The 18,006-nt window shown below is 33.5% G+C and overlaps 1 protein-coding gene across 3 annotated transcripts in view; it reads right to left on the bottom strand.

Annotated features, from left to right (window-relative positions):
- Window positions 1-18,006, bottom strand: part of CWC27 (CWC27 spliceosome associated cyclophilin) — a 249,846-nt gene that overhangs the window by 128,932 nt on the left and 102,908 nt on the right. For all 3 annotated transcript variants that reach the window (NM_001297644.1, NM_005869.4, NM_001364478.1), the window contains exon 11: window positions 4,286-4,389. In NM_001297644.1, the coding sequence (NP_001284573.1) occupies window positions 4,286-4,389 (104 nt within the window). The remainder of the gene's footprint in view (window positions 1-4,285; window positions 4,390-18,006) is intronic.

Here is an 18,006-nt window from a genome sequence, read left to right as displayed (position 1 = left end):
ATGGGACTAAAGACACTCCAAGGCTGTAAACAGGATTGTCCTGCAGTACATCTCTTTTGACATTGCTGGTATCTATAGTAAAACACCACATTTTTTGTTTACCTAAATTAGGGTGTTAGAGCCTACTGCAAATTCTATATTCAATCCCAAAGTGCTGGGATTACAGGCGTGAGCCACCGCGCCCGGCCTCAATTTGCTTTTATGATTGTTAACCATGTGAAAATATTTTTATGCCATAATTAGAAAGAGAATTATATTAGTAAGTATTTTTCTGTTAACTTTCCTTATATCATATAGAAATAACTGGATTTTCTCTAAATCCAAATGACTGTTAAAATTAGCTTCACCCAAAATTGGGTCATTTGATTGATATTGTATTTTCTCATCTCAAAATGTGCCATTTTATTTATTTACTTTTCGTTGTTTTATTTTGAAATTATTTTAGACTTACACAGAAGTTGCAAAAATAATACAGTTACCATATAACTTTAATGTTAAGGCCTTCCGTGACCATAGATTAGTGATCAAAACCATGCCAATAATGTTGGAACAATACTATTAACTAACTATAGACCTTATCAGAATTTCACCATTTTCCACACTAATATCCTTTTTTTTTGTTCTATGATTCTATCTAGGATTGAACTGCATTTATTTGCCATGTCTCCTTAGTCTCTTTTGATCTATGACAATTCATCAATCATTCCTTGTCTTTCATGACCTTGACACTTTGAAGAGTTTTGGTTAGATACTTTGTAGAATGTCTCTCAATTTGAGTTTGATGTTTTCTAATTGAATTATGATTATTTATTTTTGGGAAGATTACCACAGAAGTAGTATTCCTTCTCAGTGCATTATATCAGGAGTAACACAATGTCTTCTGTCTTATTGTTGGTGATATTACCTCGATCCCTTGGTTAAAATGGTGTCTGCTGAGTTGCTGTACTATAAAGTTACTCTTTTTACCTTTGAGTTTTATAAATATTTAGGGGAAAATACTTTGACACTATACAAATATTCTGTTTCTCTTCAAGTTTCTCTCTACTAACTTTAGCATCTATTGGTAGATGGTAGATCTTGCTTATTGGCAACAGTTATTTACTGTGGTGTTCTAATAGTGCCTTTCTAGTTCTCTGATTTCTATTTTAATTACTTGGAATTCTGTAAGAAAGAACTTTCTCTTCTGTTATTTACATCCTTACTTCAGTATGAGCTGTGAATATTTATATTATTTATAAATTATTTATAAGTATGCCAATATATTTATAAATATATTTTATATAATATGTTGACATGTATGTTATAATAATAAATAATAATATATGCTATTTGTATATTTATATTTAAATGTAAATTATATAGTGTTATAATCCCAAAATATACATTATTTATATATGTTGACATTTATAAAGTTATAATAATAAATAATATATGTTATTTATATATTTATATATAAACAAATTATTTATATACTTTATATTATTTATTATACTATATATAGTTAATTATATTAACTATATTATATATAATTATATTAACTATATTATATATTTAGTTAATTATATGAAACTATTATTATTTATTTTTTTCAAATTTTTCCAGCTTTGGCCATTGGTAGCTCTTTCAGGTTAGCTTGTGTGCCCTTTTAGCTTGTCCCCATCCTTTGAGCACTTTCTTACTTTCTGGTACCACAAGATACTTCCGGCTGATCTTGTATTTTCAGTTCTCCAGACCTGCAATCAACCACTTCTTTGAGGAGCTGTGGTTACTCTAATCGGAGTACTGTTTTTAGAAAGCAAGAGCTGGGCACTAAGTAGACCATTTGATTTTGATTCTAATATTGTTAGAGTGCTATTAGGAGCAATATTTTATTATGTTTTATTATCAGTATTTTGTTAGAGTGCTTAGCAAAATTCTTTCTTAGAACCATCTATGATGTACATTATGGATTACCTTTTTCTTAGAATTGTATTTCCTTTAAAGTTACTGTGATCTTTTAAAATTGGCAAGTATTGCTGTTATAATGGTAGAAAATTGACTATGAATTTATTATGAAAAATGTGTGATTTTAGTAAATACCACATTATATTTGAAATTCTTCTTTCCTCATGATTAAAAATGATACCATGAGCTTTCTCACTACATAGCATTATGGAAACATAGTAAAATTTTAGGAATCCTTGAATGTGTGTCAGAACATTCTGACACTGCTGAGGCAGGCAGATCACCTGAGGTCAGGAGTTCGAGACCAGCCTGATCAACATGGTGAAACCCTGTCTCTACTAAAAATACAAAAAATCAGACAGGTGTGGTGGTGCATGCTTGCAGTTTCAGCTACTTGGGAGGCTGAGGTACGAGAATCACTTGAACCCGAAGGCGGGGGTTGCAGTGAGCCAAGATCGCGCCACCACACTCCAGCCTGGGTGACAGAGTGAGACTCCATCTCAAAAAATAAGTAAATAAATAAATAAATAAAAGCAGATTGAAATGAGCTCTGTTAAGAATCTTCTCTTTTGCATTAAGAAATCAGTCTTTAAGACTAATGTCTTTACCTACCTATTTATTATTTCAAAGGGAGACAAATAAATAAACTTAGCACTGCTTATGTCTAATATAGGCCTTACCTGTATGGCACTATTATAGTATACCTATTGCATTTCTTTCACTCCTACTAGATCGTAACTATAAGTCACAGTGTTACACTCCTAATCCAGCATAGTGTTTAAGACATGAGGGTACTAATAATTATTAGCTCAAAAGCAAATAAAATATTTAAGTTTTATATTTTATTCTTTCTAGTTGAAAGATCTTTCTAGTTGAAATTATTTTCATATATTTAAAATACTTTTAATTATAAGAAACAGTCTTCTAAGAAAATTACTTATAAACCTAAAAATAAAATAATCCTGACTGTACCTGTTTCAAATCTCATTAATGCTAAGATACTGTTTCTATTCTGGGTTACATTTTGCCTTCATGATCTAGTCACAAATAAGTTTATCCCTTCTTCTAAATTGTTTATTATTTGTGCCATTATACTTCAGTTAATTTTTAAATAATGTTTCATTCAAATATATACTTCAATGACTTTCAAATCTTCATGAAGTATGTATAATATCTGCCTTTATGAAAATAGTCATTGGGGATTTTGTACAAATAATCTTAGAATTGAGAACTACGCCCTTTAAATAGTTATCTGGTATTACTCATGCTACTTAAAATAAACAATAATAATACCTATGGCCAAACATTGTGCCACTGTATTAGAATGTGTAGTCTTTAAGGCTAGATGCTACATCTTATTTGTTAATATACTTCCAGTGACTGTTAATAGAATCTAGTAGGTAAAACACTTCAAGCTTTCAAAAGCATAAAAATATAGAATATATATGTACAAGCAAATGTGTACATGTATGTACTTAGTATCAAATGTATCAAACTTAGTATACATTATAAGAGGCAATTGAATAAAATTTCTGATCATATTCACTGAATGGACAATACAATTTATCACTGTAAAAAGAAAACAGATGTGGGTTCCAAGCTGTTATTTTAGAAACTGAACATTACATGCTTTATAGCTGAAACAATTTTAAACTAAATTAAAGATCATCAATGAAAAAGCTTTTTTTTTGAAGCTTAATAAAAATCGTAGTGAAACAAAGAAGCTAGTTAACCTGTATAAACAGCAAGATGTTATTTTGATCAGCTTTATCAATACTTTAGACTTTCTATGTCTTAACATAAGAGTAAAAACAAAAAACAAACAAAAAACAAAATTAGGTATTTAATACTATTCAAACCAACACACAAATGTTTACCTAAGTCCCAACCACAGGGCTCAAACACTTTTTAAAAATGTTTTAAAGAATATGCAATATATATATAAACATTCCACCCTTGTGCACTTTTAATCTAGTTAGATGCTATGGCAACCTTTAAGTTTTGCTAGATTTCAAGTATTCTGTTAGTTTTCATGAAGGTTACTTAAGAACAATAGTTACAATCCCATTTGCACTGAATTTACTTCTTAGACAAATTTCCTGGGTGGAAATTTATTTTCCTGGCTAACTGTTCAAAGAAAGTATTAAAAACACACACACACACACACACACACACACACACACACACACCCTAACTCAAGAGGGAGGGAAAGAAAGAGGGAAGAAAAAATGAGAAGGAAAGGAGAAGGGAAGGGATGAATACGGGAGCGGGCAGGGAGGAGCTAAGAAAACAGAGAAGGAGGAGTATCAAGTGAAAAAATAAGCGTGATAAATGCCCTTACCTTCACTTCTTTTTTCTGCTTGTTTTGCTGCATTTTCTACTTTTTTTTGTTTTGCTGCTAAGAGTTCCCGTTTTAATTGTCTTGCTTCTTTTCTGAGCTCTTCACTATAAAGCAAAAAGAGTTATATAAGTATATAATATATTGAGAGTAAAAGTTGTTTAGCAAAAACAGAATCATTGGTATACTACATCTAAGAAAAATAAAGTGAATAATGTAATTCATTCATTTTGTTTCTGTGTATGTATACTTGTGCTATAGAAATACACTTAAAGGATTTTAAGAGTTCTAATTTTTTCATAATAACAATACGAATTACTATAAAATATACCCCCTATCAAATATGTGATAAATGACCCATTATCTTCCTAATTCACTAACAAATTTAACATTCTAGTTTCAGTTTAATAATTTACGGAGATACTGGATCAAAACAAAATTTTTAATATAAATATTACTCATTAAGCATGGACATACACAAAAAATTTGGCTTCAAAAATGGTTGAATTCCTGAACTGGTACCAGTGACTACCATTTATTAAGTAATTATTACACGGTAGGTGTCACGCTACAAACTTTTAACTCATTTGATTTTTAAACCCAAGTTTTTAACTCATTTAATACTACAGTTTGGCATATACATTTCCTTTTAATTTCCTGGTAGTTAAATCTACCAGGGTGAGGTCTGATGATTAATATAATCATGTGTTAAAGACAAACTTAGAAGTAAATGTTGACTTCACTACAAAGCACTAGCTAAGTGACTTGCTTCTCCATGCCAGTTTTAGGGCAGGAGATTCAAATTCATGCCTTGCAAAGAATTATTAACTACTCATTATCATAAACCCTTAGGGTTACTTGTAACTGGTCAAGACTGTGCATATATTATCTATGAAAGTCAAGTACCCACGGTATTTTCAACAAAATCTAGAGTGAATCATGGAAATTCAAAGGCTATAAACCCAAGTAGGCACTCCACTCTGAAAATGTTTATCAAAGATATTAAAGCCAAGGTTTAGTGGAATCTGAAGTCTAGATAATTACATATGTGATTGAACCTTTAGTGCTTCTTTCCTTATCCCAAATCCTATACCTTTTTACCACTGCCATGTATTAGTTACCAAACTGCTGGGTCTTACGATGTGTGTAACTCAGTTCTTTTTATCTTTTTTTCCACACCAGACACACACAGCCACATTTTGCATCTGCCTGGCCTCCAAGATCCTGAATTCTGAAAGTTCCCTCAGTGATCAAAATCCACTACCTTTTTAACTTTTTCAGCCTTTCATTTCTACTAAGCTTGCACATATTCCCATAATAATGAAAGCCAATTCCTTAACTGTAGTTCATGGTCCATCAGCCCCATTCTAGCCCTAATTGGCTATCTATTCAAACTGGATGCTATGACCAGTCATTTCACTGATGACCTCATCAGCACTCATAAGTTCCTTGTTTGTCCTGTGGATACATCATAATCACCTGGAAGAACTTGCTAGCAACATGTTGGGGGAGACAAACCTCCAGGGAATATAATAACTTTAGATGTGGAATGTTGCCTGGAAATTTGCCCTTGTAACGAGATCCCCAGATGATTCCAGTATGTACTCAGGTTTGGGATACAATGCTCTAGGATCTTATTATAGAAATTATCTTCTCTCTTTTACAATTTCAAACACTCCCACCTCACTGATCCTTTTATTCAGCAAACAAAAATGCTCAAATTTCTCTGGACTTGGCTCAAATCAAGTGATTATTATCTTCACAAATGGACTCCATTCTTGAAAGAATAGTTTACCTATACAGTCTGCTTTATTAACCTCTAACTTCTTAATCTCTTGCAATCTATCCCTCTTACAGTCTACTGAAACTGCTTCTATATCAACCAAATTCAATGGCCTTTTCTCATTTCTCCTCTTCCTTTTTGGCCTCTATCATTCAATGATGTTAATTATTCCTTCCTTCTCCTTTCTTCTTAGAATTCTATCCCAGTCAGGCTTATATACCATTTTAGCATTTTGAATCTCCAATTCTTCTCCTGGTTACTCTTTTTCTTCCCATATTATAATTGTTGACATTTTTCTCATCTCTATACTTTGTACACTGGCATTTTAATCTAATCTCATAACATCAACTATCACTCCTATATAGGTTATTTCCAAATGTAGATGTTTTGCCTTAATGGTCCTGCATTTGTACCTATCTTCTACAAATTTCTGCGTAGATTAACTCAGAAATTTAATACTGATATGGTATGGCTGTATCCCCACCCAAATCTCATTTTGAATTGTAGTTCCCATAATCCCCATGTGTTGTGGGAGGGACCTCATGGAAAGTGATTGGATCATGGTGGCAGTTTCTCCCATGCTATTCTCATGATAGTGAGTGAGTTCTCATGAGATCTGATGGTTTTATAAGCATTTGGTATTTCCACTGCTGGCACTCATTCTCTCTCCTGTCACCCTGTGAAGAGATGTCTTCCACCATGATTGTAAGTTTCCTGAGGCCTCCCCAGTCATGCAGAACTGTGAGTCAATTAAACCTCTTTTCTTTATAAATTACCCCAGTCTTGGGTATGTCTTTATTAGCAGCATGAGAACAGACTAATACACATACAATTTTAAGTTTCCTAGTAGACAGATTTAAAAACTAAAAGGAGCCGGGTGTGGTGGCTCACGCCTGTAATCCCAGCACTTTGGGAGGCCAAGGCAGGTGGATCACGAGGTCAGGAGATCGAGACCATCCTGGCTAACATGGTGAAACTCCGTCTCTACTAAAAAAAATACAAAACATTGGCCAGGCGGGGTGGCGGGCACCTGTACTCCCAGCTATTCGGGAGGCTGAGGCAGGAAAATGGTGCAAACCCGAGAGGCGGAGCCTGCAGTGAGCCAAGATCGCACCACTGCACTCCAGCCTGGGCGACAGAGCGAGACTCCGTCTCAAAACAACAACAACAACAACAACAACTAAAAGGAAACATTAATTTTTACATACTTAATATATCCAAAATATTACCAATTTAACATAAAACCAATATAGAGAATATTAATGTGATATTCAACACTCTCTTTTGTACTAAGTCTTCAAAATACAGTGTGCATTTTACACTTATAGCAAATCTCAATTGAGACTAGCCTCATTTCAAGGACTCAACTCTAGAGAAACAGCAGGCTGGACATCTCAACATAATTACAAATTCTTTATGTCCAAACCTGAAATCGTCTCCTTCTTGCCCAAATTTGTTCCTTCTCCTGAAGTCTCTATTTGATCATGGAACCATAATCTTTTGAATGACCAGACTTTAAATTTCCCTTGGACTCTTCTCCCTTTCCTTTCATTGAATCAGTGTTGAAGTACATCATTTTCTAATCTCTCTCACATATAACAGCTCCTCTTGACTTTAACCATCAATGCCTAGTTTAGGCTGTCATTATGTGTTCTCAGGTAAGTACAATTATTTCCTATTTCTTAAAGCTATATGAACACAACTGTAGATATCCCATATTTACTTGGCATGACATAAAAATGGAACTGGGTAGCCGCTGCACAGGGAACAGCAAACACATCTTCCATTTACTCCATCAAACATTCCTATCTTTTTATTATGCTACTTTGTATAGCTTTCAATTTGGTAAGTAATTCAGTCATTTAGATGATGTTTTCCGAACACTAAGGTCTTTGAGGTAGAGATTATTTTGAGAGTTGAAGAGGAAATGGTGCATTTCTAGGGTAGACAAACTAGTTATGAGAATAATTTGAAGTACACAAAGAATGAGGCAAAGAAAGTATAGACTGTTTACGATACTATTGTAGAGGGAGTAGAACATAGCTATTATAAGACTTAACTTTGGATTCAGAAAGTATTGATTTAAAAGCCAACTCTATCACTTATTAGCCAGGTGACCTGAGAATAGTTACTTAACTTCTCTGAGACTCAGTTTATTCAACTATAAATTAGGGGTAAGTTATGTAAAATATTGAGCACACAAGACATGTTCAACAAACAGTAGCTATTATGATTTAGGTCCTCTATTTAAAATAGCACCACTGTTAAGAGCTGTCTGTCATATGGGCATAGTTCTTTATTATTTATTATAAATGAATGTTATTTCTACTATATACAGCAAACAACTCTGTTCATCATTTTAAGAGGGCAATGAATGCACAATGCTTGCTTCTAAAAATCTATCCTTAAATAGTCAAAGATTTAGACACACTATATTAATGTAGTCATATCATATACAAACTGAGCAATGATGAATAAAAACTCAAAAATGACAAGGTGAGACAGAGAAGGGTAGGTCTATACAGATTATTAAAAATTGCTTCATTATGCTAAATGTTTCAAGTGATTGAAGATTTACAATGTTGTCAAAATCTTTGAGACCATTCAAGCAACACCATTTGTTAGTACTGTGGAATCCATAACTCTTGAAACGAAGTGCAAGTTTTTAAACCAATTTTTAGATCACAGTCTAAATTTAGGATTCCCAATCTTACATTCTTTGGAATATCATCCTATCCACTGGCATCAGAATATATTTAAATATGTTCAAATGAGAATTAAAATTGTAAGCTTGGAGTATATGTCACCATATACTGCCAAACTATGGGCTTACTTTAGAGTCCAGAAAGCATTGTCTTGGCCTCCTCAAAGCCTAGTCTCTGCTTAAATGGTAAAAAAAAAAAAAAAAAAAATGGCTTTTATAAACTGTTACTAACTCTAAGCCACTTATTGTTTTCCTCACAGTTATATTTCATTTGAATTTTAATATGCTTTGTATGACATCAGCATTTATCCACCAGATATTTCTGTATTGAATATATTTTTTATCTAGTAAATCTGCAATAAGTTACTCCCTAATGGAAAAAAGAATTTCTTAAAAAAAAACCCAATAAAATATCAGCAGCCTAGAAATTACAGTAGCTTTATACATTTAGTATTGGCAAAGAAATTACTAATTCATTTAGCAATTTCTGGAGCACTTAATATTTATATGGTAACATTCTGGGTACTGGCACAGAAATCAAAATGATTAAGGAAGGGAACCTCACTTTGCTAGGTTCTGTAAATCAGTTACCTCCTCTATCCCTCAATAATCTTTTTAATGAGCTGTGATATAGGCATTTTATAGGTAAAAAGGCTGACGTTTATGAAGATAAAATAAACACCTTTTTAGAAGTCACATAGTGAGTAAGTGACAGAGCTAGAAATTAAAAATGTGACTATCTGAACTCCAGGTCTATGCTCTTTCCATGTTGTTTCATGGACACCTTGAGAAAATGTTCAAGGAGCCTAAATTCCAAGGAGGGATATAAGCCATGTACATCAATAATAAAAACAGTACATAATAAAAAGCAGCAACTTCCATGACAAATAAATGATTGAAGCATTTTGAAATTCAGTGAAGAAAAGAGTACTGCAGGACAAATAAGAGATGGCCTCACAGAGGAAGCATGTGAACTGTGATGTGAAAGATAAGTGATAAGTAGGAATTAGCTATTTACAGACAGAATGAAGACGCATCCAAGCAGTGTGTCTAAACCAAGAAAGAGAGGTGGAAAAACAGGGTACATGCTAAAACATGAAGGTATTTGGCTATTGTATAAAATAATTTAAAGTGGGGCAAGGTAACTAGTAATGAAAGATAGAGCTGAGAAAAGGATCTGGGGTAAAGTATAAATGCCAAGCATTTGTGAGTAAAGTGACAATATTTTCCCTCAATTTTTTCACACCTTTGGCTTTTCCATTTTTTTTTTTTGCAACCGATTTCTCAACTGTTCTTAGTGTCTTCATTTAACCCACTATCCACCCATTTTAATACCTGACTTGTAATCCACACACTCCTTAAATGGCTCTCTCAAAAGTAACTTATGACCCCCTAATCACAAATTTCAATGGCTTCTGGTTAGATTGTAACTTAGACCTTGAAAAGAATCCAACTTTGTTGAACATCTTACCCCACTTTGCCCCTCTGCTATTTCAGAAATAGTGTCATGAGTGTCTTAGGACACTTAGGATCTTATCCTACCTCTTTGATATTCTTTCTCTGCTTCCACTGGTTCTACTTTTCTACCTTCTGCTCCTCAAAATTAGATGCTTCTCAACCTTCTTTTCCTCTCTATAAATTTCATCAACACTCAGGACTGCAATTCTCTCTGTCTTAATGCACCCAACATATAAAATCAAGATTATTAGCCTATCTTTTACCTATTTCCACTTTCAAGATTAAATTGACATTTCTAACTGCCAGATGAAAAATTCCACTAGACATACCACAAATGCATCAAATTTACCATTTTAAAAGTGAGATTGATAATGTTAGCTCCTCAACGAACACCAACTAATTCCTCTCTTTTCTATTTCTGATAAAGCTACCACAATGCTGGTTGTCAAGCCCACCTTCTAGTTATCACTCGCTTACTTACTACATCTTTCCTTTTTCCTTTATAAAGTCTTTTCCTTTCTATGGTTAGTGACAGCAATCTAGTTTGGGCCATCAGGACTTCACTTGGTTAACAGTCTCCTACTTGGTCTACGTGCCTCCAGTCTGACCTTTCTTCCATTCATTTTATAACACATACCCCAAATCCTACAGTTCTACTCCCCTGATCTTCACAGCTCCTTAAATCCTATTGAATTATGCACTAATTTCTTTCTTAAGTAATTAAGTCTCTCTCATGACCTAACTTCAAACTACTTTTTTTCAACTTTATCCCCCACATATCCTCTACAGTTACTCTAAATTTCAGTCAAAACATACTAGTCATAATTACCATGGCAAACTTTGAGATTCAGTACACATACTCCTTTGTTCATGCCATTTCCACTACTTAAAATGGTGTTTTTCCCCTATTTCTGTCTACTAAAATCTTCCACATCTTTTAAGCCTTCATGGAAAAAGTGGCACTTGAGTATAGCTTTGGAAAATTGTCAACCTCATTGATCCTCAGTTTTCTCATCTATACATTGTGTCTATATTCAACATATATAATATGCAAAACTGATGCAAAGATTTAGGATTAATATGAGTAGGCACACTAACAGGTGCTTTTTTTTTTTTTTTTTTTTTTTTTTTTTTAATCTGTAACCCAGGACAGTGCTGACTACCTGGTGCTTAGAAGGCATTTATTTTTATATTCAAAATATACTACAACCAACTCATGACTGTTAAATTACATTAGCAATTTAAAGAATTAAAACTGTGAAAATTAATGATAAAATGACACTAATTATTAATGCTAAAGATATCTACTCTAATGCCAGTGATGAGTTGTTTTCTTCATTTAAAACTAATGTCAACTTATAGCATTCCAAATGATTAGACAAAGTATTTGGGTGGGGGTCTTGGGAAGAAATGTGTTTACCAAAAGACCTAGACTAAACAGCATTATTTGGCCATGAAAAGGCAATTAATTCTCCTTCTTTGCCTCAGTTTCATCATCACAGAAAAATAGTTTAAGTAAGGCAAAAAATAATGTTTCTAAAATGCATAATCAAAATTATAAGTGTAAAAAGTTATACCACGCAGATCATTTTAATTCCTTTTGATTTGGCATTTTAAAGCACATTTTGAATTAAAATTATTTCCTTGGTTTTCATTCACATCACTAAGGAAGCAGCGAGATGCTGAGTGTTGACGTCTTCATCCTAGACACAAAAAAGCTGAAGTATAGAGATGGCAAGAGATTTTTCAAAATTATCCAAGAAAATAATAGAATTATCAACATGACACTGACATCTTAATTCTTCATGCAGTTTTCACTCAACCTGCTAACCACCTAATAAGTGAAAAGTACTTTTAGACTCATACCTTACCTTTAAACTGAATATTTTATTTATTTACAATTTTTATTGATTTCTAATATGTGTACATTTTTATGGGCTACATGTGGTATTTTGTTACAGCTATAGAATACGTAATGGTAAAGTCAGGATATTAAGGGTATCTATCACCTCAAGCACTTAACATTTCTGTGTTGTGTAAATTTCAAGTCCTCCCTTCTAGCTGTTTTGAAGTATACAATCCATTATTGTTAACTATGTCAACCTACTCTGCTATTGAGGATGGAGCTTATTCTTTCTATTCAACTGTTTATACTCATTACCCAATCTCTCTTCATCCCCCCCAACACACAAACCCAGATGCCTCTGGTATCTATCATTCTGCATTCTACCTCCATGAGATCAAGGTTTTTAGCTCCTACATATGACTGAGAATATACGATATTTGTCTTTCTATGCTTGGCTTATTTCACTTAACACAGTGACCTCTTGTTCCTTCCACGTTGCTGCAAATGATAGGATTTCATCCTTTTATGGCCAAGTAATATTCCATTGTGTATGTACACCACAGTTTCTTTTTCCATTCATCCAATGATGGACTCTAAGGTCGACTCCACATCTTGGCTATTGTGAATAGTGCTGCAATAAACATGGGGGTATAGGTATCCCTTTGATATAACAATTTCCTTTTCTTTAAATAATATCCAGTAGAGGGATTTAAGCTGAATATCTTCTATACAACAGGAGATACTATAAATAAATAACTACATAAGAAAATTTTTATTACTACAATGTCAACATATTTACAATTTTTATAAGATCATTCGTTATTACTTGATTGAAGTAGTTTTTTAAAATCCTGCAATTATTTTTTAACTGTGCAGCTTTTGAACATGCGATTGAGGATTTAAAATGGAAATGTCAAGTATCTTGCATAACTGTCAGTCTAGTTTTTATTTTTTCCCAGATGCTTTTTTCATTTTCTCCAGTTTCTAGGAATGTGCCTTAGGAAAACTTCTAGTTATATCTATTATTTTTTCTTATGTCACGAGAAATATTATTTTAATATAAGGGTGATGAAGTCAAGCACTGATCTTCTCTAATATTCACATTTAAAAAATTGATGAAGATTATCAAGACCTGAGTGACATGCTGTTGGAGAGATCTTAAATCTACATAAATGGAATATGTGTTAGTTTCTTATATATGATGGTAAATGAACTTGCTTAGAGGCCTTGTTAAACAAGCTGATGGCTAAACACATGCCCATTACAGACTATTGTTTCTTGGACCACGGATGTAGCACTTGCAGTTAGTTTAAGCCTGCTATTTCCCAACATCTGATAAGAATTCATAACACATGGAAATGATTGAAAACCAAACAGTATACCCTTCATGGTCTTTAGCCTGCTGCTTTAATCACAAAGATATCCAATCTGTTTGTAGTGAAACAGCAGCTTGGCTGTTGATAAAATCATAAAATAGCTGTAATAAAAGCCCATCATATGTATTAAAATTATAGATGTTTCATACAATTTTTAGACTTACAGTATCATCAGCTGTAGCAGAGATGTAGGTTCACCATATTTCAAAAAGTGCCAAAATGTACTGTAGTTTATACACACATTTTGAAAATGTATACTTATATCATGCAAATATCTAACAAAAGTTAGTCAATAAAACTCCACTCTGTGTTCGAAGCTCTGTTCTACCTATTACTAGCAGTACCGCATTGGACAACTAAGTTAACCAATGTAAGCCTCAGTTCACTCACCTAGAAATGAAAAGAATAGTAAGGTTGTTGTAAGAAAGAACTAAGATTCTATGGAAATTATTTAGCATACTTAGCATAGTACTTGGCCCAAGATAGTACTAAACAGAAATTTGCTTCTCTTATTATTATTGCTTTCACCTCCACCACTACCACTATTCCTATTCTTGCTATTTACAGAATCTATTAATGACAAAATGAGATCTCAGTCTAACAAAAGAGATTAAAAAGGCAAGTTTTTCCATTGTTTCCATGGAGATACAGATTTCAAAAGCACAGTGATTAGTTTTTGTGTTTGGGGCACTGCTTAGATTAAATATATGCTATGCAAGTGAGAAATGTAACAGTTTTAAAAAAACTAAAAATTACAAAATTCCCATATCCTAACTCTGGTCACTAAATGCTTCAAAGTGAATTGCTTATTTTCTTTCATTATAACCTAGCTGAAAAGGTAAGGAATAAGCGAGTCAACAAAGAAATGCATACATACTTAGAAATTCTATGAGGGAGGCTAACAGAGAACCTACCTTATTTTAGTCTAAGTGATCCTGAAAGGTATCTATCAAAAGATAACATTTAATCTGAGAGCTAATGTTCTATGTGCCCTTTATAATCTGCTACACCATTACTTACGAATAAAAAGACTATATCCATATCTTTAAATATATTGTAATTTAGAAAGAAAAGGAGAAATCTAAACACACTTGTATATAGCCTTTAAACTTACAATCTTACTCCTTCCATATGAAAGATCATATGTATTTTTAATGAAAAGATTAGAAGTCTAATGTAGATGACCCCTAATCTTTGTAAGATCTCTTTCAAATCTTAGAAAATTTTATTCTTTTTTTCAAAACACACTAAACAGTGTATCTTAAACAAAATCATAAAGTGCCAATAATATCAGTAGGTGATATTGCTATTCTGTCTAAGCACCAAGTAAAAATCTCAGAATCAAATATGTTATTTCATAACAAAAACTTGGCTTAGCCAAGATTTCACAGAAGTGGAGTACATTTGCTGTGGCAGAAACCCAGTCTTTAGCCAAATGTCTATTTCACAATCCAACTTTACAAATGATATTAATTCAACATGAAAAACAAATTTGACTTCCATTTCTAGTAAGGCAGTATACTAGATAACCTGAAAACTCTCTTGTGACTCAACACATAGAAGTGCTGAATAGAGTACATTTTTAAAAACACCTTTAAATACATATGTTTAGCTCACTAGAAATCAAGGGCAATATCCAGGGTTTGGAAAATGAGGAGGGGGACTGAAAACCAGAGCAATAAGCATTGGAACTGATAGTTGAACACTCTGAGTTACTGGTCTCAGGAACCTAGAAATAGAGATTTTAACAATCACAGGCATGGTGGTGCGTGTCTGTAACTCCAGCTACTCAGGAGGCTGAGGCAGAAGAATCGCTTCAACTTGGGAGGTGAAGGTTGCAATGAACCAGGATTGTGCCACTGCACTCCATCCTGGGTGACAGGGCAAGACTGTCTAAAAAACAAACAAAAAAAAGCATCGGCTGGGCACGGTGGCTCATGCCTGTAATCCCAGCACTTTGGGAGGCTGAGGCAGGAGGATCACGAACGAGGTCAGGAGTTCGAGACCAGCCTGTCCAACATGGTGAAGCCCCATCTCTACTAAAAATACAAAAATTAGCCAGGCATGGTGGCACATGCCTGTAATCCCAGCCACTCAGGACACTGAGGCAGGAGAATAACTTGAACCCAGGAGGCAGAGGTTGCAGTGAGCTGAGATTGTGCCACTGCACTCCAGCCTGGGCAATAGAGCAAGACTCTGTCTCAAAAAAAAAAAAAAAAAAAAAAAAAGCATCAACAATAGACTAGATCAAGCAGAAGAAAGAATCTCAGAACTTGAATACAGATCTTTTGAAATAACCTGGTCAGACAAATATCAAGGAAAAAGAATTTTTAAATGAGCAAAGCCTTCATGACACTTGAGACACCATAAATTGACAAAACATGTGAATTATCACACATATTTACAGTCAACTGATTTTCAACAAAAGCACCAAGAACATACACTGGGACAAGAATACCCTCTTCCAGAAATAGTGCTGAGAAAACATGCAGAAGAATAAAACTAGACCCCTATCTCTAACCATATACAAAGATCAACTCAAGATGGATTAAAGACTTAAACATAAGACCTAAAACTATAAAACTACTAAAAGAAAACATAGAGAAAACACCTCAGGACATTGGTTTAGGGCAAAGATTTTTACATCTAAGACCTCAAAAGCACAGAACAACTAAAACAAAAATAGACAAATGGGACTATATTAAACTAAAAAGCTTCTGCAAAGCAAAGGAAATAACTAGGTGAACAGACAACCTGTTGAATGGGAGAAAATATTTGCATACTACTCACCTGACAAGGAGCTAATATCCAGAAAATACAAAGAATTCAAACAACAATAAAAAAACCCAATAATCCTATTTGAAAATGGGCAAAGGATAGGAATAGACATTTCTTAAAAGAAGATATACACTACCTTAATTTAAGAGAGAAGGGTCTATTGCTATAATACTTTGAATTTTGGTTTAGAAAAGGAACTACTATTTATCACAGAGAAGACCTATTTATATTTAATATTTTTATTAGAAGGAATGTTGTTTTGTTACTTAATTGATGTATTTTAAAAATTGAAATACTATTGTTCAATTTATTAATATGCTATATTACATTAATAGACTTCCTTTAATTGACTGACCTTTACTGTCCTTGGAAAAAAGCTTTCTTTCTTTGGCTATTTTTAAAATAATGCTTCTAAGTGAACGAAACAAAACAAAACGAAAAGCTTATGCATTCCTTTTGTACACCTTCCGTGTTCACAGAATATTTTTAGGTGTGTTGTTATTTTGGGTTTCTATTTTCTTTTCTTTCTGCTCTATTGCCTTAATTTTTTATACTGAGTAGGCATCATTTTCATGAAAAACTGAAGTCATTAGGAAAAATATTAATGAACCACATTTATCACAGTATCCAACACTGTGACTCAGTATGTTGTTGGTGCTAAATAAATATAGGCATACACTAAGGGAGAAAGAGTACAGAATACTAATCTGGGACCCATCAGAGGGAAATGTGGGGGTTTGGGAAGAGGAGAAATTTTGTTGTGAAGACAGACGTCTAAAATATAGCACACAGAATAAAAATCACTGAGATAAGAGCATCAGATAGAATGATGTCGATCAGGATTTAAAGAGGATGAGGTCATTTTTGTGAAAGCCATACTTGGTAACAGATAAGCATTATGTAAATTCTTTAAGATTTCCCATTTCCTATAGTGTTCTTGCCTTGTTAAATTTGCTTTACCGACATCAAAACACTTTCAACATTATGTAAAAAAATGAATATATGGACAAATGATTTAAATATAGTACATGGTATAGATTAAATAAGAAAAAAATGAGGTGGAAGTTTCTCTGGCATTCATCTAGACTTTCATCGGCATGTATCAAAATTATATAAAATGGCTTCTAGGATATCATAAAGCTTTACAAAGCGTTTCACAAATGAAGCTGCATATAAGTGATCCTCTTGAATTACTGAAGCTTTTCACGTTTAGGAACTTTTGGCCCTGCCTCTCTCATACAGTGCAGGTACAGACATTGAAGTGCCTCCTTCCCATGCAAGCCCATTCCACCTGGGTCCTGAACCAGTTATGCATGAGAGATCTATCATGAGCATCTATTCAAGAATAAGGCATAAAATGAGTCATTCTGTTTGAGTCACATCTATTCCTCCTAAAGCACTCCTCTCTCTTCCACTTCCCTTCTCCTCATAACTCAAAGTCATCCTTCAGATCTCAGCTTCCATGCCATATTCTCTGCAAAGACTTTTCTGAACTCTCAATACTGATGCACAAGCTCCCTATATTTATCCTTACCTTAGGTCTATAATCAAGTATACCTAAATGTGGCCTTCCTGATAATAACAACACAGTATGATGTTGATGATGATACTATTGTTATGATGCATTTTTCAAATTCTAAATCCAGGCTCTTTCCTCACTGCATGGGTTGAAGTTTCCAAGTCTCCCAGGAAGTATTTTGCTTGCTTTTTCAAGACAGAAGAGCAATTAGATAAACAGTGCTTTTGCTCACCTGACCTTAAAATTTGCCTTTTCTTACT

This window comes from Homo sapiens, chromosome 5 (assembly GCF_000001405.40).
Source record: "Homo sapiens chromosome 5, GRCh38.p14 Primary Assembly".
NCBI lineage: Eukaryota > Metazoa > Chordata > Mammalia > Primates > Hominidae > Homo > Homo sapiens.
Note: the sequence above shows the minus strand (reverse complement) of the source record. Positions and strands in the feature narration are given on the sequence as shown.